The sequence below is a fragment of the Homo sapiens genome, chromosome 2, assembly GCF_000001405.40.
Source record: "Homo sapiens chromosome 2, GRCh38.p14 Primary Assembly".
Lineage (NCBI taxonomy): Eukaryota > Metazoa > Chordata > Mammalia > Primates > Hominidae > Homo > Homo sapiens.
In genome coordinates this window covers 125039567-125062380 of record NC_000002.12, presented here as the reverse complement: position 1 = coordinate 125062380, position 22814 = coordinate 125039567, and positions in this window count along the sequence as shown.

Genomic DNA, 22814 nt, shown 5'->3' with positions numbered 1-22814 from the left:
AAAAATAAATTATAAATGGGTCTACCCTGGCAGAGACGCCTGTTTCAGTGAGCAATCATGTCCAAGCTGACAGGTTCACAGCCTCACATCTCTGAGACTTGGCACCCTCTTACCTTGCCAGTGGGATGATTTTCAAATTAAACTTTCACACATCAACCTTCCAAGGAAGTCATGAGTTTGATTGTCTTGGTTTGTGTCTTTCAGGTATTCTAATGAACACCTGTCATTTTTAGATCAATATAATTTAAAGCACTGTTTTTTATTTTCTTCTCCTCTCCCCTTTGCTAAATAAAGGTTATAGCACTACCCACTACCCAAAATTACCCCCCCCCACATACACTTATCCACCAGCAAAGGCACATCCAGCCAGACTGTTTTATGTCCAATTTGTTTATCGTGATGAGAAATGAGGGAATCTTTGGCAGAGATCATTAATTTTATAGCTTGTGTTTCAAAAAGTAGTTCCTGGGCTATTTACGTCTCTTCATATTAACACCTGAGAAAATGAGTGTGCTGAAGACATAAACCTGGAAGCAAAGTGTGTTTACCTTCCCCCCTAAATATAATTCATGGCTCAGAACAGATCTTTATGACTCATAATCAAATATTTTCCTGGGGTTGCATTTGATGTTTGCCGCAGTGACACTGAATGTCTTTGGGTCTTTTGATTCAAAGACAATTAGCTGCCTGTTGGATTTTGATATTCAAGATGGAATTATTACAATTTATCTTGGCAGGGGGAATCACTCTTTAAATTAACTGGTATTAGTGTCATGCATTGCAAAAGGTTATTAGTCCAGAAAAATGTAATAAAAAAAAATTTGGTGAGAGGAAGGTCTTAAAGGAATCCCTGCAATTACATGGTGTCATCTTATTGGTTTGATAGTTAAGGCAAATGAAATTTGATAGGCTGACCTAAACAAGGACAAAGGCTATTCTAACTCTAGCATCTGTACAAAACCTGGCATAAAATACGCTCTCAAACTTATTACAGAATGTAATAATGTATACTATTTCCTTCCCTCCTTTTTTTGTTATTTTTCTCTTCTTCTAATGTATGTTTATTGAATGTTCACTGGCTAATCAATTAGAAGTATGTATAAACAAAGGTGGGGTTCATGGCTAATCAATTAGAAGTATGTATAAACAAAGGTGGGGTTCATTTTCAGAGATGCTATGAAAGGGGACAGGCCGGCCAGGTGCATTGGTTCAAGCCAATTGGTTCAATCTCAGCACTTTGGGAGGCCAAGGCAGGCGGATTGCCTGAGGTCAGGAGCTCAAGACCAGCCTGGCCAACATGGTGAAACCCCATCTCTACTAAAACTACAAACAGTAGCTGGGCATGGTGGCCCATGCGTGTAATCCCAGCTACTCGGGAGGCTGAGGCAGGAGAATCGCTTGAACCCGGGAGGCAGAGGTTGCAGTGAGCTGAAATCGCACCACTGCACTCCAGCCTGGGTGGCAGAGCGAGACTCTGTCTCAAAGGGAAAAAAAAGGAAAGGGGACAGGACTTGAGCAAAAGCTCTGACCAGATCTTCTCTAAGGCAAATCACTTTAAATTCGGACCTGCACACCTGGGCCTGCCTACACCACTGCAGCAGAAATTAACTTAAAATTATTTATAGATCTATTACTATATATTCTATTCAGAAGGACTGAAGTGGAATTTAGGGATACACATGTTATTATCTTCTTTCCATTCTTTGCTTAAGATGCAAACTGATTTATACCATTTACCTACCAACCTCCCCAAAGTTTAGTGAAATTATATAGAAAATACACAAAGGACAATAAATAAGTAACAGAGAAAAGGAGGTGAAGGGCACCAGTGTTTTTGATGACATTCTGGAAGACAGAAAGAGAATAGGATCTTACAATTGTGCTAAAATCTCAGCTCAGAGAAGCTACAGGAAGTTGGGAGCTGGGGCTATTCTTCCCATTAATGGAGAGTCTCTTTGAGATTGGTGGGAAGAGAACTTCAGAAAAGAAAGAGGGCAAAGATCGGGGGATTCATTAATCAGAGCTGTCATATTACCTCTCCCTGAACCCTCCCCATGCACAGATACAGGCACCAGAGAGTAGGTTCTCATCCAAAAGCAGAGAATTCCCATCCAGTAGTGTTTTATTATCTGCCTTGGGAAAGCCAGAACTCCTGGTTTGTACCTAACATAAGGACTTAGTCTTTAAATCTATAGAGTGGAAGTGGGGTAGAAAATCTCATACTTATCTTACTTCTAAGCAAACAGACCAGACACACATACAAGCTTATAACGAGCCCCTCACCCTCTTCAAAAACAGAAACCTATGAGTGGAGAGACAGACCAAAGAACAGAGGAAACACATGATGGCTTCTTATGCTAAACAACACTTGCCTTAATCCATAACCATAAATGAATAGCCAAGACACCACGAGACATTTAAGAAAATCAAATGTAAGAATAGCAAAAACAAAATGAAAAATTCAGGAAAAAATTCACGTATCCAAATAATCAAAATAGGTATTTGAGGGGATACAAAGAACTTAACAACAAAAAAGTGTTTTTAAAGGCATTTTCTTTCCAGAACAGAAAATAATCTATTATTTATTAATTAATAAATATTTCCCAGGCACTTGCTATGAGGCTATAAGCGAGGCTCTGTTGAAATAGAGAGGGTATATCATAGAAAGCAGATACATGATGTTCTGCCTTCATGAAGCTTACATTCTAGTGGGAACAGCAGACATTAAGGACATTAGCAAGATAAATATAATTTCAGGTAGCAGTAGTACTAAGAAGTTAATTAAGTAGGTTAAAGAAAAAAAAAGAGTTGTAAGCAACAAAACTGACTTTGCTGAATGCAACAGAAAACAAATGCAATGACTGCATCTCAAGCGATCCTGGAGAATCAAGCATTTCCAATGACCAAAATCAAGCCATGAAACTGGTGCAGTGAAGGAGGCCAGTGCTGTCACCACCTGGTGCTGTCTATGTTATCATGCACCTTTATCACCAGAAATCCCTGGAAATCATGTAACTGCCGCTTTGAGACAGTGGGTGCAGCTGCCTCCTCTGTCAAGGAAACTGGGGAGCCCCACTTTAGTCATATTACCAGCTTCCAACTTAAGGTGGGTGCATCTTATAGTGGAGTCTTAGCCTTCCTAGCAACTAGGAAAAGGCTGTAACAGTTGGCATGTGGCATTTTTAGTTATAGAGTATGAGGCAGCCTCTGATTTTTTTTTTTTTATTTTTTTGAGACAGAGTCTTGCTCTGTTGCCCAGGCTAGAGTGCAGTGATGTGATCTCAGCTTTCTACAACCTCTGCCTCCCTGGTTCAAGCCGCCTCCCCAGTTCAAGCAATTCTCTTGCCTCAGCTTTCTCAGTAGCTGGGATTACAGGTGCCCACCACCACACCTGGCTAATTTTTTTTTTTTTTTGTAGACATGGGGTTACACCTTGTTAGCCAGGCTGGTCTCAAACTCCTGACCTCAAGTGATCCACCCACCCTGGCCTCCCAAAGTGCTGGGATTACAGGCATGAGCCACCACACCTGGCTAGCCTCTGATTCTTAAATGGAGGATTCCTGAGACAGGAAGGAATTTAAGAGCATGGGCTACCAAATCAAATGACAAACATTTGTCCAGTGTAAAAAGGATCAGACCGCAATTCTAGGGCATCTTTCCATCCTCTTCCACCTTCAATGCTTTTGTTTCTTCATCTCAAAAATGAAAGAGTACAACTGAATTATTGCTGAAATCACTTACCTCCTTAAATTCTAAGAGTCACTGATTCAAAGAGAAAAGACAAGGTGAAACAGTTCAAATAGATGTTCAACAAGTAGACAGACGGGGCAAAATGGGAAGAGAATATTCTGAGTCAAATAGAAATTCAGTGCAGTCGTCTTATGGAGAATAAGAGGATGTAGATGTACAAAAGAGAAAGAGAGAAAGAGCAGGGGACTAGAGCAGGAGAATGAAAGAATAGAGTCCACAGAGAAGCTGACACATCCATTCACAAGACAGCTGAATTATTCTGCTTGGTAATATGAATCAGTTGAAATAACTTATACAAGAAGAAAACTATAGGCAGGCCTTAGCTTCACACTCATGACAGAGGGAGTTTGTACAGCATGTGAAACTTGTGATACTGAGTGTCTTACCTGAGGTGGAAAAAGGCTAAGGATGTATAAAAGGAATATCACCATTCATTCAGCAAACATTTTTCCCACCTCCTGCATTTATTAAAATAAAATTTATACTGTCTGCTTCAAGGACTCAGACTAGATACATTAACAATAGTATTAGTATGGCAAATGTCATAAAAATCAGTAAACATATTATCTCAGGGAACAGAAAAATGGTACCTAACAGTTTGGGAAGAACATATTATATATATATATATATATATATATACACACACACACACACACATATATATGTATATATATACACATATATGTATATATATACACAAAAAAAATTATATATATAAAATATATATTATATATAATATACATACATTATATATATAAACTATATAAACAGACACTCTAAATATTTCAAATACACACAGACACACACAAACACATACACACATATTTCCAAGAGATTAAGCTGCATTTTGAAAGAAAAAAGAGTTTACCAGGACGATAAAGAGAGCACGGCTATTCCAGAGAAAAAGAGAACATATGATCTGAGGAAAACACTGAAACAGGAAAGTCTTTGACTTTTTCAAGGTCAGTGCAGTTGAGATGGTGCTTTCTTACAGAGAAAAGCACCCGGAGATTAGAATTTTAGCTGCCTCATATCGGACTTTGTGTGTCAAGCTAAGTTGCTTGGGTTACATTCTGAAAATGACAAAGTGATACAGGAGAATTTGGGACAAGAAAATAACAAGGTCAGAGCTGACGAGCAGTTTGGAGGTTAGAAGCAACAGAACACATGAGAAAATGATTTTAACAGAATCAAAACAAAGCAGTGATTGCTGGGCCCAAGGAAAGGTGGTGGAGATGGAAACAACGGCATGATGCGTTCAAGAGAAAATATAGACCACTGAAAATGACAAGGATGTGAGGAGATACACAGGCTAATTAGCTCAATTTAGCCATTCCGCGGTGTATAGGTACTTCAGAACAACATGTTGTATGTGAAAAATATATACAGTATTTGTCAATTAAAATAAAGCAATAAAGAGAGAAAATATGGAAGATGAGCTAAGAGAATGCAGAGAAGTAGAATCCTGAGGATGGTTTTCTCAATCCCTACCAGTAACTTTCAATCCCAGAAGGAGGAAAAGAAAATATATGTGCATTTCTGTGTGTGTACAGACAAGTATGCACATATAGTATATAGATACAAAGTTATAGAAAAGCATAAGAGAGTAAATTGTTACTTTAGATGTGTTTTGTGATCAATATCCTGAGTGCCACATTTAATAATGGTAAATGGTAGCATTTTTATGAGGCTAATATAGTCAAGAAACGGAAATAGTGCAATTTGTATTGTATCCTTAAAAACAATTAATATTTATCTCCCCAGAAAAAATGAGAGGCTAGGCTTTCAGTTGTAGAGAACGAATTGATGTATAAGTTTGGTATGAGTCTGATTCGACCTGGGGTGGCAGGAAGATGATGCCATCTAAATAAACAAACTAAACAGTTAATGCTAAGGAAGTTAAAAGAATCAGATCTCCAGAAGAACCATTGTTTTGGTCTGTGGATCATCGTAGTAGAAGGAATTGAAAGAAGGTTGGCTTAAGAAATAATCTGGAGACAGAATGGGGCCACATGAGATAAAAATACTGGCCTTTGTTGGAGAGGAGGCTGGCTGTTAGCGGTTGGAAGAAAATGGAGAAAGATCCCAGGAACTGAGAGGGTTGGGAGGGTCCCTGAGAGCAGGAAAGGTGGAAGAGGTGTGTTGATAACTGAGCCAAAGTCTAACAAAGACAAAACAAAGGTCATTTCAGACAGCAGGATTATCCTGTGTAAAGACAGGCAAGCACACAGTGGCAAGGCATGCTCACAGAACATAATTGGACATGTCCAAATGACAGGATGTGTGTGTGTGTGTGTGTGTGTGTGTGTGTGTGTGTGTGTGTGTGTGTGTGTGTACATGTGATTTGGGGTTTGGGATGCTGAGAAGATGGTATCAATCATGTTTTCAGGAGAATGTAGTGGGTGGAAAAGGCACACGGTTAGAGAAACACAAGAAGTACATTTTAGAAGACTTGATGTAGAATATCATGGAGCCTGAGGCCTGAGATTTATTTAATAAAATGGTGTCATTAGAAAGGTCTATGATAAGATTGCTAATCTTGAGAAATCTGTCATTATAATGGAGAATGAAGGAAGGTAGGAAGAGACAGAATGATCCCATAATAGTTACTCCAGTGGTTATCAGCATTTATTGTGTATATGAAATTCACCTGGGGATACTGTTGAAACACAGATTCTGATTCAGAGAATCTCAGTGCATCCTGAGTTTCTGCATTTGTAACATTTCTAACATCAGAAGATATAAGGCTGCTGGCCTATGAGCAGCACTTGGAATAGCAAGGATGAAAAGATAATTTGTCTGACCCTGGTGAAATGGTGAGGGCCTGAATTATACACTGTAGCTGTTGCTATATACCTTTGGAGTGTCTTAACTAGGTATTTTCCTGATTAGTTGTAATACTGATATGTAACATACATGAATTTCAAGTATTAACTGCTATAGCCACTTAAGAATGTTCACACAAACCTGTGTCCTCTAGGTTTTCTCTTGTGTATGAATTAAGGACACATTCTATTGCCATGCTTCCTCATATCAACATGTCTCATTTCATTTACAGGTGAGTTCTGAATGAAGTTATATGTCCAACTGATGCATCTTTTGTAATACTCATGGAAGGAAGTTTATACTTCAAGCTGGAGAGGCTGTGCATATTAAATATGTTCTTTTGCAACGTATACTGAAACGCTGATTAATGAGGCTTCTGTTTCCTCTTTTCTCAAACCAATTTGGGGATCTATACTTGTCAGTGTAAGGGGCTTTCTTATGTTCTATCTGCTTCCTATTACATGTGCATATTATTCATTTTAGTCATTGGCTTTAGGCTAAAGAGTGACTGAGCCTTCATTTTCTAAACAGAATGAAAGCAAAAGAAGACCTCTGCACACTTTTATTTTTGTCAATTTGGTCAAGTTGTTTAGAAAGTCAATCTTCTTTCATTATCTGACACAAACTGTGTATGACATGCAAAAATAATTGGTCTATACAAGTTTTAGTTGCAAAATGTTTTATTGCCCCACTTATGGCTTTTATTTGTACCCACCTGTTGTTTATCCTTTCTCACCTCCTGGACCCATTCTTAGTCTTACCTAACTTTTTTCTTTTTTTTCTGAAAATACTTTCCAAGTTTCTCCTAAGAAAACATATTAGTCTATTAAGTAAAAAGAGGAAATGAAGTGAAATATTTCTCTATAAATAAAAAAAAACATCCATTGGGTCCATTGTCTAAAATTACAGCAGGTCAAAGATTTTACTCTCTTCACAAGCTAAGAAGTTAGACTGCTATATTTTCAGTGGCCTAAGAGAAGAAACCAAGACTCCTAGGTGAGAGGCAAAAGATGTATACTCATAGCACAAAAGATTTACACAGGCTTCAGGTTCACGTTGGTTTTTCTTATCACTCCATCCCCAGTCCCACAGGGACAAACAGGAAGCCCCAGAAAGACACTGCCCAGGCAGTGAGTTTGTGTCACTGCTGAGAACATGGACCTTAAGGAACCCAGATCTTTTATAATGGGCTGCAAGCAAAGCTGCCCAACTTTCACTCAGGAGAGAGATACAATCTTTATTATACTGGACAGTAACCCAACCTGTCCTCTCTTCTAAAGGGAGACACTATCTCTGTCTTCCAAAGCTGTTGAATCTGTGAACATCCTTGACAAGACAGTCCAGAATGAAAAAGCTGTCCATGTTGCCACTCATGAGAGGTGTAGAAATGTGACAGACCCATGGAAAATTGTCTCCCACAACTATTACCTGACTTCTGTAATTTAAGATGTAAGGCATCAATACCAACTTCGCAAATGTAACAGATTTTTTTAAAATTTCATTTTGATCAGCTACCACATTGAAAAGTTACCATTATATTTCTCTAAGAAGGCAGCATGAAAAGGCCTTTGGGGGTTGAAAAGTCATGAATTTAGTTGTGGTTCAACTACATCTAGATGAATCACTTAGAACAATACACATTATCTGTCTAAATCTCAGGTACCAGAACCCTAAAGCCCAATGCCAGAAATATTGCAGGCACTCACTAAATTTGTTTGCTTCTCACATCCTTCTTCTCAGCATTCATTCTAGGAGTCTACTACTATAAATAAAGGTATCCCAGCCTTCTCCCTCAATTCCAAGTAGTTGTGGAAAGAATTCGCTGTCTGCAAAATACTTGCACTTTATTCTCTGAGTAATCCAAGAAGAAAAGAAGACATAATCTGAGACAGTCTTGTTAGAGAGATAAAAAGCAGCACAGTGGACTGCAAATCTTATTACAAACTAATTCTAAGAAAACAATTGTTACAATGATGCAATTTGATTAATTAGGGTTACCTTCAGGCATAAGGCATAGCAGTTGGAAAAGAACACAAATGTTGGAGTCATGCTTGCCTTCAACTCAACTCTGTTGCTTAGTTTATATGCCCGTAATGTTATCAGACCAGGGAGTTTTCCATTTTCTGTATACAAAATGGGCTTTAAAATATGTATCTACATTATTGCAGGGATTAAATGATATCACATGGGTGAAGTACCTAACACACCAAATTACAGATGCACAAAAAACTCAGTCTCCTTTTCTTATTTTTTCCCTCTATGATTTGTATCACAAAGTTTATTTAACTTAATATTTGGTGACTTTCTGATCACATTTGAGAAATGTCTCACGTGACCTCTTTCTTCTTTCATTCACTATCTTACTTTTTTCTTTCCCTAATTTCTGGAATTCTCAAGTGAGTGACCTTATGTCCATTGCTCTTTAACAAGTTTTCTTAAACAGGAGCTCCCTGCCAACCATAATCCTGTGATAAATCAATACAAATCCAATGTCAAATCACACACCCTGACCATTCTCCTAAGCATGTTTCCTGTCATACTTTGTGATGAGTTATATTTTCCAAAAATGGTCACAGACATATTTGCAGCCCTCCAGTATGTCTTTCCTTTCAGAACCTCACCAATCCCATCAAGAGGTAGAGTCTGTTTCTCCTCCCTCTGAGCAGACTTGTAAGGGCTCTGACATGTAGAATATGACAGAAACCATGCCATGGGACTTCCGAGGCCAGGCCATAAAACGTATGCAGCTTCTTCCTGGATGTCTTAACATACTTGTCTTTGAGTCCGGCCACCCTGCAGTGAAGAGACTGAGCCATAGGATGAGGCTGTGTGTGGTGTTCCAGCCTTGCAGCCCCACTGAGTTCCAGCAGACAGCCACCATCAGCCACCAGATGTGAGTGAACAACCTTAGGGCGAATCCCGCTTTTAGCAACTATGTCCTTCAAGCCTTTGCATCTTCCTAGTGGAGGCTCCAAACCTTGTGGAACAATCTGTCTCCACTGTGCCTTATCTGCATTGCTGACCCATGACTCTACAAACTTAATAAATGCTTTATGTCACAGATTTTGAGGTAATTACTTTCTCAGACCTGGTAACTGGAACATATTCCTTACCAACCATTCCTTCTGAAAATTCTCCCCTATTTAAGGGCTAAAACACTTTAATGTTCTAGACTTTTACCCTGATCCTGTTATAAATCCTCTTTTGTTCTAGTTTGTCTTTCTGCCCTGTGATGATCCCAAGATTTCCTCCCTAAATCTTTCTCTCAGCTCTACAGTGTCACTTGACGAGAACGCAGGTTCATGCTAAGTGTTTTTAAGCCTCTGTGTCTCAGACCCACAACAACAGTGACACAAGCAAGGCTCCTAAGGAACAAGGTTTAAGGAGGCTGTCACAATTGGGATCATACAAGTCCCTCCTCAAATTTGTATCACAGGTGCTTCACTTGCCCAATCTAAACTCTACCGTCTGTCTCTAGATGTATTTCGACCAAAATCTCAGCCCTGTCTCTGGCTTAGTGATAGAAAGAACAGGCTCATGAGTTTGTCCGTATTTAAATCCCAAGTTTGCCACTAACAAACTGTGTCATAGTAGGGGATTATTTTAACTCTAAACATTTTAGTTTTGTCATCTATAAGATGAGAATAATAGTATTATGTATATTTTAGGACTAATGGAGAGAGAAAATCAATTAATAAAAATAGCTTACAACAGTGCCTGTAACATAAACTATTAATAAACATTAGCTATTATCATCCTCTATTATAATTGTTACATGCCTCCTCATTACAATCATTTCCACAAGTGTGAAATAGGACTCACAGTCAAAGCCTAAAATTACACTTCTTCTAAGTCTCTGCACTCCAGATGATGGTACCAACATGACTAATGTCACTTAGGCTCAAATCTAAACTAACCTGTGAGCTCTTGTTTCCCTTCAGCCAATTTTGCTGATTTTGCTTTACCCCTATTGCTTGTACCCATCTCTCTTCTTCATCTGGTGTTTTGGCCTTCAGATATTTGATGCAATCTTGATTGTATAAAAATTATCATTTATGTGCATTTTACCAGATTCTCAGTGGAAATGCCATCCTCACCACTCCCCCCCAGAAAACATTCCAAACAGCATCTTTATGGCTGTGTGTGTCACCACCTCTGGCTGTTGTGCATTGCCTCATACTTTCTAGCTGACTTGTTTTTCTACATCCTTTGTCCTGCATGTCAATCTTACTACAAAAAATCAGCCTGGGCCCCCTATTTTCTATCACAGCAATATACACATCTCAAGCTTACTGTCAAAGCTATCCAAAAAATATGCTTGATTAACTTAACTGACCTCATTTTACCCAATTTACTTCTTTCTCTATAGATATAAGATATATTTTCCTTTCTCAGGTAATGTTGTATAAAGATACATTCTTCTGAGATTCTACAAAAATTAGCAAATAAGATGCAAATTGACGTGGCTAGATCACATAATCACAGAATCATTGAAAAACTTATAGAAGGCATGATCTTATTTTCTGGCCAGGTTTTATCTAAAACCATACAACATTAATAAAATTATTTATAATTACTGTATTTATCTTTTCTTAACTCATATTAAATTTTATCTCAATTTTCTATAAGATTCAAATTTCCTCCTTAACATTTAGTTTAGAGTTTAAGTTATGAATAAAATGATGCCGAATTTGTTAATTTTATTTTTTATGCATCTTGAAGCACTAAAAAATCCTGTACTATTATGACTTACATCGGCTTCTCAATTTTGATACTATAATCACAAGCAAAAACTAAACAAGACCATCTTCCAAGTAAATTATAGTTTTTTCTAACTGACAGATGGAGAAACTTAAATTGATATGATTGTTTTGGTAGACAAATCAGTGAATTGTAGAAAAAGAGATTTAAAATATGTTGGAAAAAGAAAAAATTTTTCATTGAACGCTATCCTTTTGATTTATTAAAGAAGATGAAATAAATAATAATATTGAAGGGAGAAATCTCAACAGTCTATCTTTTGCAAGTAAACCTGTCCTTCCTCTAGGTATTGAGCAGCTGATAATTAAAACTGTGACCAATATGTTGATACATCACAGATAAGAGTTTCCTATGAAGCTAAGCAAGAAATGGGTGACTGAGTATCTTGAAAGGCTATGACCGATGCATTTCTCAAGCCACTGTATTTGCATCTGAAACCTCTCAAATGTGAAAAGCAAATAAATAAATAAATATTTTGTAAAAAAAAAAAAGTAAAAGAAGTCTATTGGGGTACTTCCCTTCAAGTTGTAGAAATAGCAGCTGACCTTCGCCATCATCTTCTATAATATTTAATGTCAACCGTCAGAGCTATTAACAGAAACAAAATATAGAGCAAATGAATATGTTTCAAGAACGTGGTGCATTTATGATGAAGAAAATGCATATTACTGCAGATCAAACTCATCCCTGACTTTGTGTCATTAAAATTAACAATAGACAAAAGATAAAAAGTCTTAATTCTATTAGGTAACCAGAAACCATGAATTCAGCTTGGATTTTATTTGAAGCATTGTTTCATGGATTGAAGAATGACCAACTTGCTAGATCTAAAGTCAGGTGAAAAATGAATGCTTATTCAGCTAAGAGGCTTTCCCGTGAGGTGCTATGCAGCTGAGAGTTGGGTCGCATTTAATTTGTCATTGTTATTAACGTTATGGAAAAGAGAATAAACAACAGAAAAATGAGCAAGAAGATTGGAAAGTGTTGTATGCCAAGGCAATACAGTGATGAGGTCAAAGGCAAGCAGAAAATCTATCATGCACCCAAAAGATGACAAATCACCATTTAAACCAGAAAGCAACAAAATGCATACAAAAGCAAATGAAATATATAAATTCAAGGAAAATGAAAATAAGAGCATCAAGTTCATCAAGTTAAAATAATTAAGACTTGAATGGCCTAGGATATATCATATATGTGGTTTTCACATATTCAAGTAGCCAGGGATCTCTTAACACTATATTTTCTTTTCCTTTATTGTACTTCAGCTCATTTATAATGTCAAGTTCAAGTATTAAATGTTAATGGTAAATGTCTACTTAAATAAAAATAAATACATGGTTAGTGCCATTTCTTTTGAAAATATGGTATAACCAAAGTTAAAAGAACAGTGACTTAGCAAAAATTAAGCTTTTTTATAATTGTTTCAAGGGTCCTACCAGCATAGAAACTGTCAACCATAGTTCTATGCCTCATGTGGACATAAGGGGCAAGTAGATTCTCACTTCTATTTAGTTCTGTATTCTTGGCTAAATAGAGATTGTGTGTGTATGTGTGTGTGTGTGATCATTTCTCGTGAATCTACAACTTTGTAGTGCTGCAAACCCATTTCAGAATTGGCTTCTTTGTGGTCCTAATTCTCCTTCAAATGTTCATAATTTCACAAATTGTGAATAGTGAAAAAAATTTGTCCTATGTACAGAAAACAAAATGATTCTTCAGGATAGTGATGGGGTCTTAACTCAATATACTTTATGCTCAGCTGCTCTCTCTTTGTATGGGAAGGAGCTCTGCTGGGACAGGAGCCACTAATCAACACAAGAGGGCCAACTTATTGACTCCAATTGTAATAGACTTCAAAAAGATATATAACAAATAACAAAATACCAAAAAGTATTGAGAGGCTCCCAAGTTGGTCATAGATCCACCAAATTGGCTCTGGCTGTAGTAATCACATTAAAACATTCTTGGAACACACAAGCAAGTATTGAATCATAGACTCTCAGAATGGGAAGAGAGATTAGGTCATCTATATTAACCCTCAATCTAGAGTCATAAACTCCTAATAAGTGACCATGTAGCCTCTCACTACACACTTTCAGTGATGGGAAATTCACTGCCTCACCAAGCAGTTTATTCCATTTTAGGACAACTTTAATTATTTGAAAGTCCTTGCTTCCATTAAACCAAAATCTAGCACCTAATAATTTTTCACATATAGAGCTTAGTTTTTTTCTAGGGCTACAAAATAAAGAATAAATAAAAATAAGAGGTCTAACAATTTCTTCTTAAAACAGGCTGCTAAATAATTGAAAACAGCAATCATGCCAACCTACGTCTTTGTCACAAGCTATATAATTTAATTATTTTCTTTATACACCCTCAGTTGCACCCCCGCTACCTTCTTGGCCTCTCTTCATCTCTAGTTTATATTGGTAATTTTAATGGGTTTTATTCAAGATTTACTCACGATTCTAAAATGTAATGCAATGAGCATGAAGTAAAGTGGTACTGTCACCATCTGGTGTCAAACACTGAGTTCATTCCACCGCCAAAGACTGCACTAGCTTTCCTGGAACTTCTATTAGCTGATGACGCATGCTTAGTTGGTGGCTGGTCACCTACATGGGATAATTTCTGGCTCCTTCTCCTCTGAAAACTCTTTCTTTATTTGAAATATCATTAGTGTCTCAATAATTTTTAAGCAAAAAAGTAATTTCTCATTGCAGTATCCCTTGGTGGAGGGTAGACAATAGTTTAAAATCAATAATATGAAGGCATAAGTAGTTATCAGATTATTACCTGGGCAAATGAGGAAACTAGTAAAGGGTAATTCTGTATAAGAAATAAAAGGGGGCTAGAAAAAAATGTATACCTGTAAAAATATTTTGCTAACTTACACATTTTTCCTAAAGTTATTCCTAAAGATACGTGTGGTGAGGTAGAAGTGTCATATTTGAGAAAAATATACCAGGCTGTGAATCCATGCTCATCTACCTACTTGTCCTCTGAATTTAGAGCAATTAAAAAACTCTTCTAATCTTTGATTTCCTCCTTCATAAAATCTATATTATTCTAGAACATACTTTAAAAGTTTAAAATGGTAATAGGTTAATGTATGACATTGATAAGCATAATTGACCGCTATAGAGCTCTAAATGTATATACAGTAGTTTCCTTTTCCTCCCTAATACCTAATATATGAGTCATAAAAGTCTATAGATAACTCATTAATAACTCTGATTACTCTTAATCCAAACATTGACTAGGAGTAGATGGATACTTATGAATTGTTATTTGAGGGGAAATAAAAGTAGTTTTTTCCTGTAAGCATCTCCTTCCTCTCTTCCACCTCACTGTCACTGTGTCTCGATCCCTCCCGAGTAATTCAGGTAGCAGAAGCTAACGTGAGATGAAGGATTCCTGATATCCTTGGACAGAAAAGGGTACTGGACATGCATGGCCCTTGAATGATGGTCTCTGGGTATGGAAGGTGGGATTTTCCTAGAGTCAAGAGAGATAAAACGCAACCAAGCAAATACTCTTTTGAACTATACCACACGTTAGCCCTTACCAAAGTAACATGCTAGTTCAATTTCTTATATCTTTAAGAATCTTTGTTTTACATGATCTAGAAATACTGAGAATGTACTAATATGCATGACTGGGCAAAATACCAACACCATAATTATCACAGACATGTTAACTATAAATAATGAAGTTGTTGGTTAGATCTGAGCTCATAAAAAAGAAGGGTGGTGATTAACGCATCAGTGCCTAAAGGAGCCACAATTGCTTGTTTTGTTTGTTTGCTTAATTCTCATTATAGACAATGGTGGGTCCTATTTACTTGGCTTGCTTTGTTGAAACTCAGTTTTGTTTTGAAACAGGGTCTCACTCTGTAGCCCAGGCTTGAGTCCAGTGGTGCGATCTCAGCACACTGTAATCTCCACCTCCCAGGTTCAAGCAATTCTTATGTCTCAGCCTCCTGACTAGCTGGGATTGCAGGTGCACACTACCATGCCTGGTTAATTTTTGTAGTTTTAGTAGAAACTGGGTTTCACCATGTTGACCAGGCTGGTCTCTAATTCCTGACCTCAAGTGATCTGTCCACCTCTGCCTCCCAAAGTGCTGGGTGAGCCACCATGCCTGGCCTCAGTTTGCTTTTTGTTTTATTTTGGTTTATTTACCTACAAATAGGTATGACTGCTATATTCTTGGCTGCTGAACTCTGGTTGTTATTTTCTACAAATGAAGTAGGTAAGAAAAACATTTTCTTGAATGAGGAAGACTAAAAAAAATTTTAAAGATCAAATCCATCACATTAATCATGGTTTGAATAAATCAGATTCCATCTTTTAAGAACCCTTTTAGCTCTAAACAACTTGTAATTTTAGTTAATTCTTAAAAGGTCAGCTGTAAGATTATAAGTCTTTTGTCAAGAGCTTTTGTTTCAGATGCATAGAGAAGCATAAAACGAGTGAGTCCACTGTAGTCATGTCCATGTGCGCACATACACACAGACACACACACCCTGTGCAGCAGACTGGAACGTGATCATGCTGCAGAATCAGCCTCACTCAAATTCAGTTGAAGCCCATAAACTTAGCTTTGTGACCTTGGAAAACACATTTAACATCTTTGTGCCTCAGTTTCCTTGACTGCAAAACTTCCTCAAGTTGATTGTACCAGTTTGAATAATGCTGGCACATTGCCTAGCAAACAGACGTTCATCATCTGGTGGCCAATAGTATTTTCTTCCATACTTACAAAGAACTTAGCATAGTGCCACATATATAGAGGTTATTTAAGAGATAGTGCCTAGTATTATAGTTATTACTATTTTACCCTCGTAGTAAGTGTAGAACATCAAACAGAATACCATATATATAACTGCCAAAAAATAAATGATAGCTGCACAGTGTGGTATAGGTAGACTAAAGACCGTTCTTACATCAATCCAGCAGGTGAGTGGTATCTAGGTCAGGACCACATGCATAGGAGGCCCTTGATAGATGGTGGTGATAACAGGGATAATTCATATTGCATGAAAAGCTCCTACGACCAAACAAAACCCACAATAGTTGCTTCATAAATGGTAGATATTACTATGTTCTCCATAACCAGTATCAGATATTTATCCATTGCCTCAATCAATGTCCATATCAATAGTGACTATTTATGCTTCTTAAGTAGATTAACTTTCCTTTAGGAGGCCAGCTTTCATTTTCAGTAAGTCCTCTGCCATTTTGTTTTGTTTTCTTTGTTCAAAGTTATTTAGGTCATTGCTGATACAAGGTTTATCTAAAACAAACAAGGGGAGTCTGTGCAAAGGAAAGCATCAAGTAAAAGGAAAGAGATGTCTGTCTCAGAATCCCGGTAAATACAGGCAGATTGGATGTTTGCTGCAGATGCTACTCTGCTGACATGGAGCTTCCATACATCATTCTGTCAGTGCACGTCTGTCCAGAGCTGACAATCACTATACAAGCTCACTGCAAAGTGCAGACTGCAGGAGATAAATGTGAATGGGATATTTTGTTAAGCATTTCTCCTCTATGTACAATCCCAAAAATAAGGACCATGATCCCTTTAATCTGAGGAGGTGAATCTGCCTTAGCCAGCTTTCAAGATCATACTTCTGAGAAAAGTGACTGTAATAAGCCAAAAGAGAGAGAGCAAGATAATTTAAGCATGTTGTGTGATTGTTGTTTTGCTTGTTTTTGTAACTGGTCATTGTTCATGCCCACTTATGCCTGTTATTGGGTTAAGATTCTGATAGTTGAACAAATTTACCTAAGATTCACCCTTAAAACATGCATATATACTCCACATATAAGAACAAATAGAAATTTGTAAGTACTGTTTGACTCAAGCTTAAGAATAAATCACATTCCATGTACCACAGATTTAGAAGTCCTTGAGCTGCATGCCTGCTGAGAATGGAGCATAAGGTCTCATCTAACGGAGTATTTCTGCTTTTCTCTTCAGAATGTTTTCATAGATGTTGGGTTCCTGACTCCATACCAGAGAACTCCAAAATATTTGATGTTTGAAGATATCCTCAGACTTGGGAGTTAAGTCCATGGTTATGATTAAGCGGACAAGCTCATGGTCCACATGATGGACTTGCTGAGGCATTGGCCTTCAAACTTTTCCACCATTGCTTTGCTGAGATTCAGTCAGTCAGGTTTTAAGAGACAACTAAAAACTCCACCCTCCTTGGGGAATAAGCACAGTGGCTAATATTTATAAGTGATTATCAACAAACTTTCCTGAAAATGGACTCAGATCATAAAAAAAGGTTGGGGGGGAAAAAGAAGATGATTTAGGATAAAGAAGGAATGGCACTAAGAGAGTCAAAGTGATGATGAAGTTTGAAGGACAACTTTGTCACTGTATTTCAGCAAAAATTCCACCCTGGATATTAGGAACAAACACACTTGTGCATAAACATAGATATGTAGGCATGACTATAGCAAATTCATGGATAGAGATCTTTTTCTGGTTTAATTAATAGAAAAGAATTTGCACAGCTGAATTGACTTTATTAAAACAATTATGATATATTTTATTGTATTTACTTTTTCTTTCTTTTTTTTTTTCTTTTTTTTATAGAGATGAAGCCTAACTATGTTGCCCAGGCTGGTCTCAAAACTCCTAGACTCAAGTTATCCTGCCATCTCAGCCTCCCAAAATGTTGGGATTACAGGCATGAGCCACCAGGCCCAGCCAACAATAGTGACATTTTCTAAAAAGTCTCTGGAAACTTGAGTTCTAAAGACCAAGTTAGACTCAGAATATGGAAAACACACTTACATGAGGCATATTCTATTTATTAAAGTTTTTAGTTTTCTGCTTAGTTTTCTCTGACAGTTTTTTTTTTTTTTTTTTGGTCTGGGTGTATAGTAGGTTCTTCTAACCCTTTCAACATTTTTATTTTTTATATTTCTGATTATAGCCATACTCGTGGACATGAAGAGATATCTTGTGATTTTGATTTGCATTTTCCTAATGGATAATGATGTTGAACATCTTTTCATGTGTTTATCGGCCATCTCTGTAACTTATTTGCAGCAATGTCTAGTCAAATTTTTTGCACATTTTTAATTGGGTTTACATTTTATTATCACATTAAATATCACATTGAAGAGTTATTTTTGTATTCCAGATACAAGTTTCTTGTCAGATATAAGATTTGCAAATATGTTCTGCCATTCTGTAGGTTCTCTTCACTTTTTTTTTTTTTTCTTTAAAGACAGGACCTTGCTTTCTCACCCAGGCTGAAATGCAGTGGCACAATCATAGCTCACTTTAGCCTTGAACTCCCAAGCTCAAACAATCCTCCAATCTCAGCCTCAGAGTAGCTAGGCTGAGTTTGTTTTTTTTTTTTTTTAAGACAGGTCTCCTATGTTGCCCAGGCTGGTCTCAAACTCCTGAACTTGTGTGACCCTCCTGCCTCAACCTCCCAAAGCACTGGGATTATAGATATGAGCCACCACACCCAGCCTTATCACTTTCTTCATAATACATTTACAAAACAAATAGGTTTACATTTAGATCTATAATCCATTTTAAAGTAATATTTGTGTAAGATATGAAGTTGTGATCTAACTTCATTCTTCTGAATGTGGATATCCAGTTAACACCAGCAAAGTTTGTTTAAAAAGACAGTTCTTTCCCCCCACTTAATTGTCATGGTTCCCTTGTTGGAGGTCACTGAACTATATATTAAAGGGTTTATTTCTGCCCCCTCAATTATATAGAATTGAAATATGTATTATGACTCTATCCTTATCCCAGTACTACACTGTTTTGATTACTGAGCGTACAGAATGTTTTCAAATCAAGAAGAGTGGAGAGTGACTGTTAATAAGCCAGGGGTTTCTTTTGGGAATGATGTTCTGGAATTAAATAGTAGTGATGAGGATACAACTCTGGATATACTAAAATCATGAATTGTACACTTTAAATATGTGAATTTTAGGGTGTGTAAATTATATTTCAATAAATCTGTTTAAAAAGTCAGGGAGCACTTCCCAGAGAAGCTGAGGTTCCATTTACATTTGGTGTAAGAATTTGTAGGCAGAGAAGAAAAAGAGGCTCTAGGCAGAGAACCTAGGGATGCAAATGCAGGGAGGCATAAGGTTACACCCAAGTGTCCAGGAACTCAAAACACTTTAGTGCTATTTTATTTAAGTATAAACTGTTGCAGAAGGAAAAAAAAGTCAAAGATTTTATGCAATGCATTAAAAAGGAGTTCAGATTTTATCCTGTTAATAAACATAATGTATTTTTACCATGTGCTACCTATATATATAATTACTTAGTACCACATTGTAATATATATGCTACTTATTAAGTGTATAGTATCTATATATTATGCAATAATATGTACTATATTTTAATATTTTATATAGCTTGAGTATATGATACTTAATATTTTAAAATTATTGAAACTATAAAATGAACAAAAATATAAATAAATGTAAATGTTTACATAAGCAGAAATGCTAATATTCACTTATCTCTTTCCAAGCAATCTGGCTTATTCCTTGGGAATAATCAAAAACAGAACTCTTCATTGTGTGAGAGAGAAAGAAAGAGAAAGAAAAAGGAAGGGAGGGAGCGAGGGAGTGAGAGAAACAAAGAGAAAGAGAAAGAAAAAGAGAAAAAGAGAAAGAAAGAAAAAAAGAAAAAGAAAGAAAGGAAAGAAAGAAGAAAATAGTGTATTCTAATTTTATTTGCAATGTTAAACCACCACCCCCCACCCAAAAATTGAAATTCCAAAGGGAGTCCATTTCTAAGAATGGAGTTTAGCCAAATGTGAGATGTTGATAGAGAAAAATTGTGAAGGCTGGAGGCCTGTCTGGCACATTTAAAATAAATGTGCTTTGATTGATGCATTTCTTTACCTTAATCCACATGTCTCAATCCTGCTATTGCATAAGTCTCTCTTTTTTTTTTTAAAGACCAAGCTATGGAGAAACAGAACAAAATATCACGTTTCAAAATTATGCCCTTCTGGCTGGCTCTTTTCCCGACTTCAGTAGAAAAGTATTTGTATCATCATATTACCTAAAACATGTTCTTCATGATTACTTAGAATAAAAAATAATAAGGTAAAACTCTTGTTCTCTTGACTGTTTGAAGAAAGGACCAATTACTGAAAGACTAAGGAATGATTTTTTTCTAGTTTTCTTTTACCCTTCCTGCGTGGAAAAATAAAAAGCTTCATATTTCATAAATGAGTATTCAAAGTGCCCTCATTATTTCATTTGATGGTAGTTTCAACCTGTTTAACAATAGAAAGAAACAATTTATCATTTCTACATTATAAAGAAATAACAGATAAAATAAAAAACTGATATTTGTTAGTTCTTCTGTACTACACATAATACTTAACATCCAAAATCTTTGAAGAATTTCTTACCAAAACTGTGTGAAATAAGTATTATCTTCCCATTTAACAGATAAGAAAACAAAGTTAATAAGAACAACCACAACAGGGAAAGTAGCCAGCCAAGATTTAGACGCAAGTTCTTCTGCTCCTGGATCAGTGTGCATTTATTCATTAAATAAACACTTACTCAGATTTGACTGTGTGCCAGCCAGTGTTTCAAATACAGAACAGTGGACATGATTAAGATGGATCAAAACTTTTCTTGGGCAGCTTACATTCTTGAAAAATCATACAAACAAAAGTAGAGATAGGTAGCATAATCCCAAGTGAAAATAAGTTTTATGTCTAGGAAATAAAGCAGAGAAAGAAGTCAGGAACTGGCTGGGGAGGAAATGCACTATTTAGGTAAAATGGACAATAATAGCTTTCTGACTAAGGGGACTGGTACACAGAGATGGGAACAGAAGTGAAGACAGTGCCTTGCTAGAGGTGGTATTGGAGTGTTCCAGGAAGAAGTGGCAGCAAGTGCAAAGGCTCTGCAGGATGGAGAAGCAAGTAGCCTGTCCTTGCTGAGTAAGAGTAAGAAAGCTAGTGTAGCAGGAGTAGAATGATACATGAGATGGGAAGATTGGCAGGGCCCGTCCATGTGGGGTTTTGAAGATCAATGTAAAGACTTGGGCTTTAACTATTGGTGTAGGGTAAACCATTGAAAGATTGTGAAGTAGAGAGTACCATGATCTTTTTTAAGATTTAAAGATAGTGTTCAGGAATAGAAACAGGGAGACTCATTGGCTCTCTGGACAAGAGGTGATGCTGTTGTAAAGAGGCTGTAGTGGAGTGGAATAGGAAGTAGACAGATGAGGAATATTTAATAATGAAGAACTGGTAAGACCTACGGATAAGTTCAATTTTGGAAATGAAAGAAATGGGGAATTTAAAACAGCTCATTTTTATTTTTGTTTTCTGTTTGTTTTGCCTGAGTGACAGGGAACATGGTATGTCTAATGAGCGATCTTGGGGAAAACTGAGTAGGAGTAAATTTTGGGGGTTAGTGAGCTAAACATTCTGTTTGTGGCATGGTGAGTTTGGCTTGTCTCTAAGCTGTGCAAGTAAGAATGTAGAATAAGCAGAGGAATATGCTCTGATTTTATTGATTCCAAGGCTCATTTTCCAAGCATGCTTTAATAACTGTGTAAAATAGAGTTGCCTTTTTTTTTTCCTCAAGATGGCATATAGGAGGCAGTACTGGCGTGACTCTCCCACTTGGAAGGACAGAATAGTGGGTAAAGACTCACACTGTGAATACTTTTTCCCCCCAAGAACCACCACAGGAACTTACCAGGAAAACTAAAAGAATCCACAAACCCTTTCAAAAAAGCTGTAGGCTGCAGCCTACCCCATGAGACAGGTAAAAAACTAAGTTTCTAGAGTGTGAGAGAGGAAGAGCCTGCTTCTGAGCATACATCCACACCAGGGAATCTGAAAATCCAGAACATGCATGGGGGAAGGCCTTAACCCAATCAAGAGCTGGAATAGATTTTGGGAGCCATGTGAAATATAAAGGTAGAAGCAGCAGTGGGAAGAGACTTGCCAGCATTCCCAGTCTCCAGTGCAAGCCCAGGGAAGCCATCCTTGACTGTATCTCACAGGGGCCCTTGGGGAAGTCAGCCAGTGAACATAGGGAAGAGTCGCAGGGTGAAAGAAGTTCCCAACTGAAATTTGTGATGTAATTTTGATGGGGACGAACTCCCTTGAACAGAATCCAGGGCAAGAGGGAAATGTGTGGCAGACAGGAGCTGAGCGGTCAGTCTTATGAGCAGATGGGGAGGGGCGGGGCCTGAAAGCCCCTGTGTTTGCTATCTGAGGGGAAACCTATGGTGTGGGGCAGCTCTGAGTTCTGTGTACAGAGTGCCTAGATCTGCCACCTGGTACTGTTAGTGGGGCACTGCAGGAATGAGACCAGCCTTGCCAACTGCATGGGAGCTAGGTGAGGCTTACTGCTGCCCACTACTCCCCAGTCCCTTTGTGAACTCTTTTGCAAGCAGAAGCAGTTATACTCCCTTCAGGAACATTA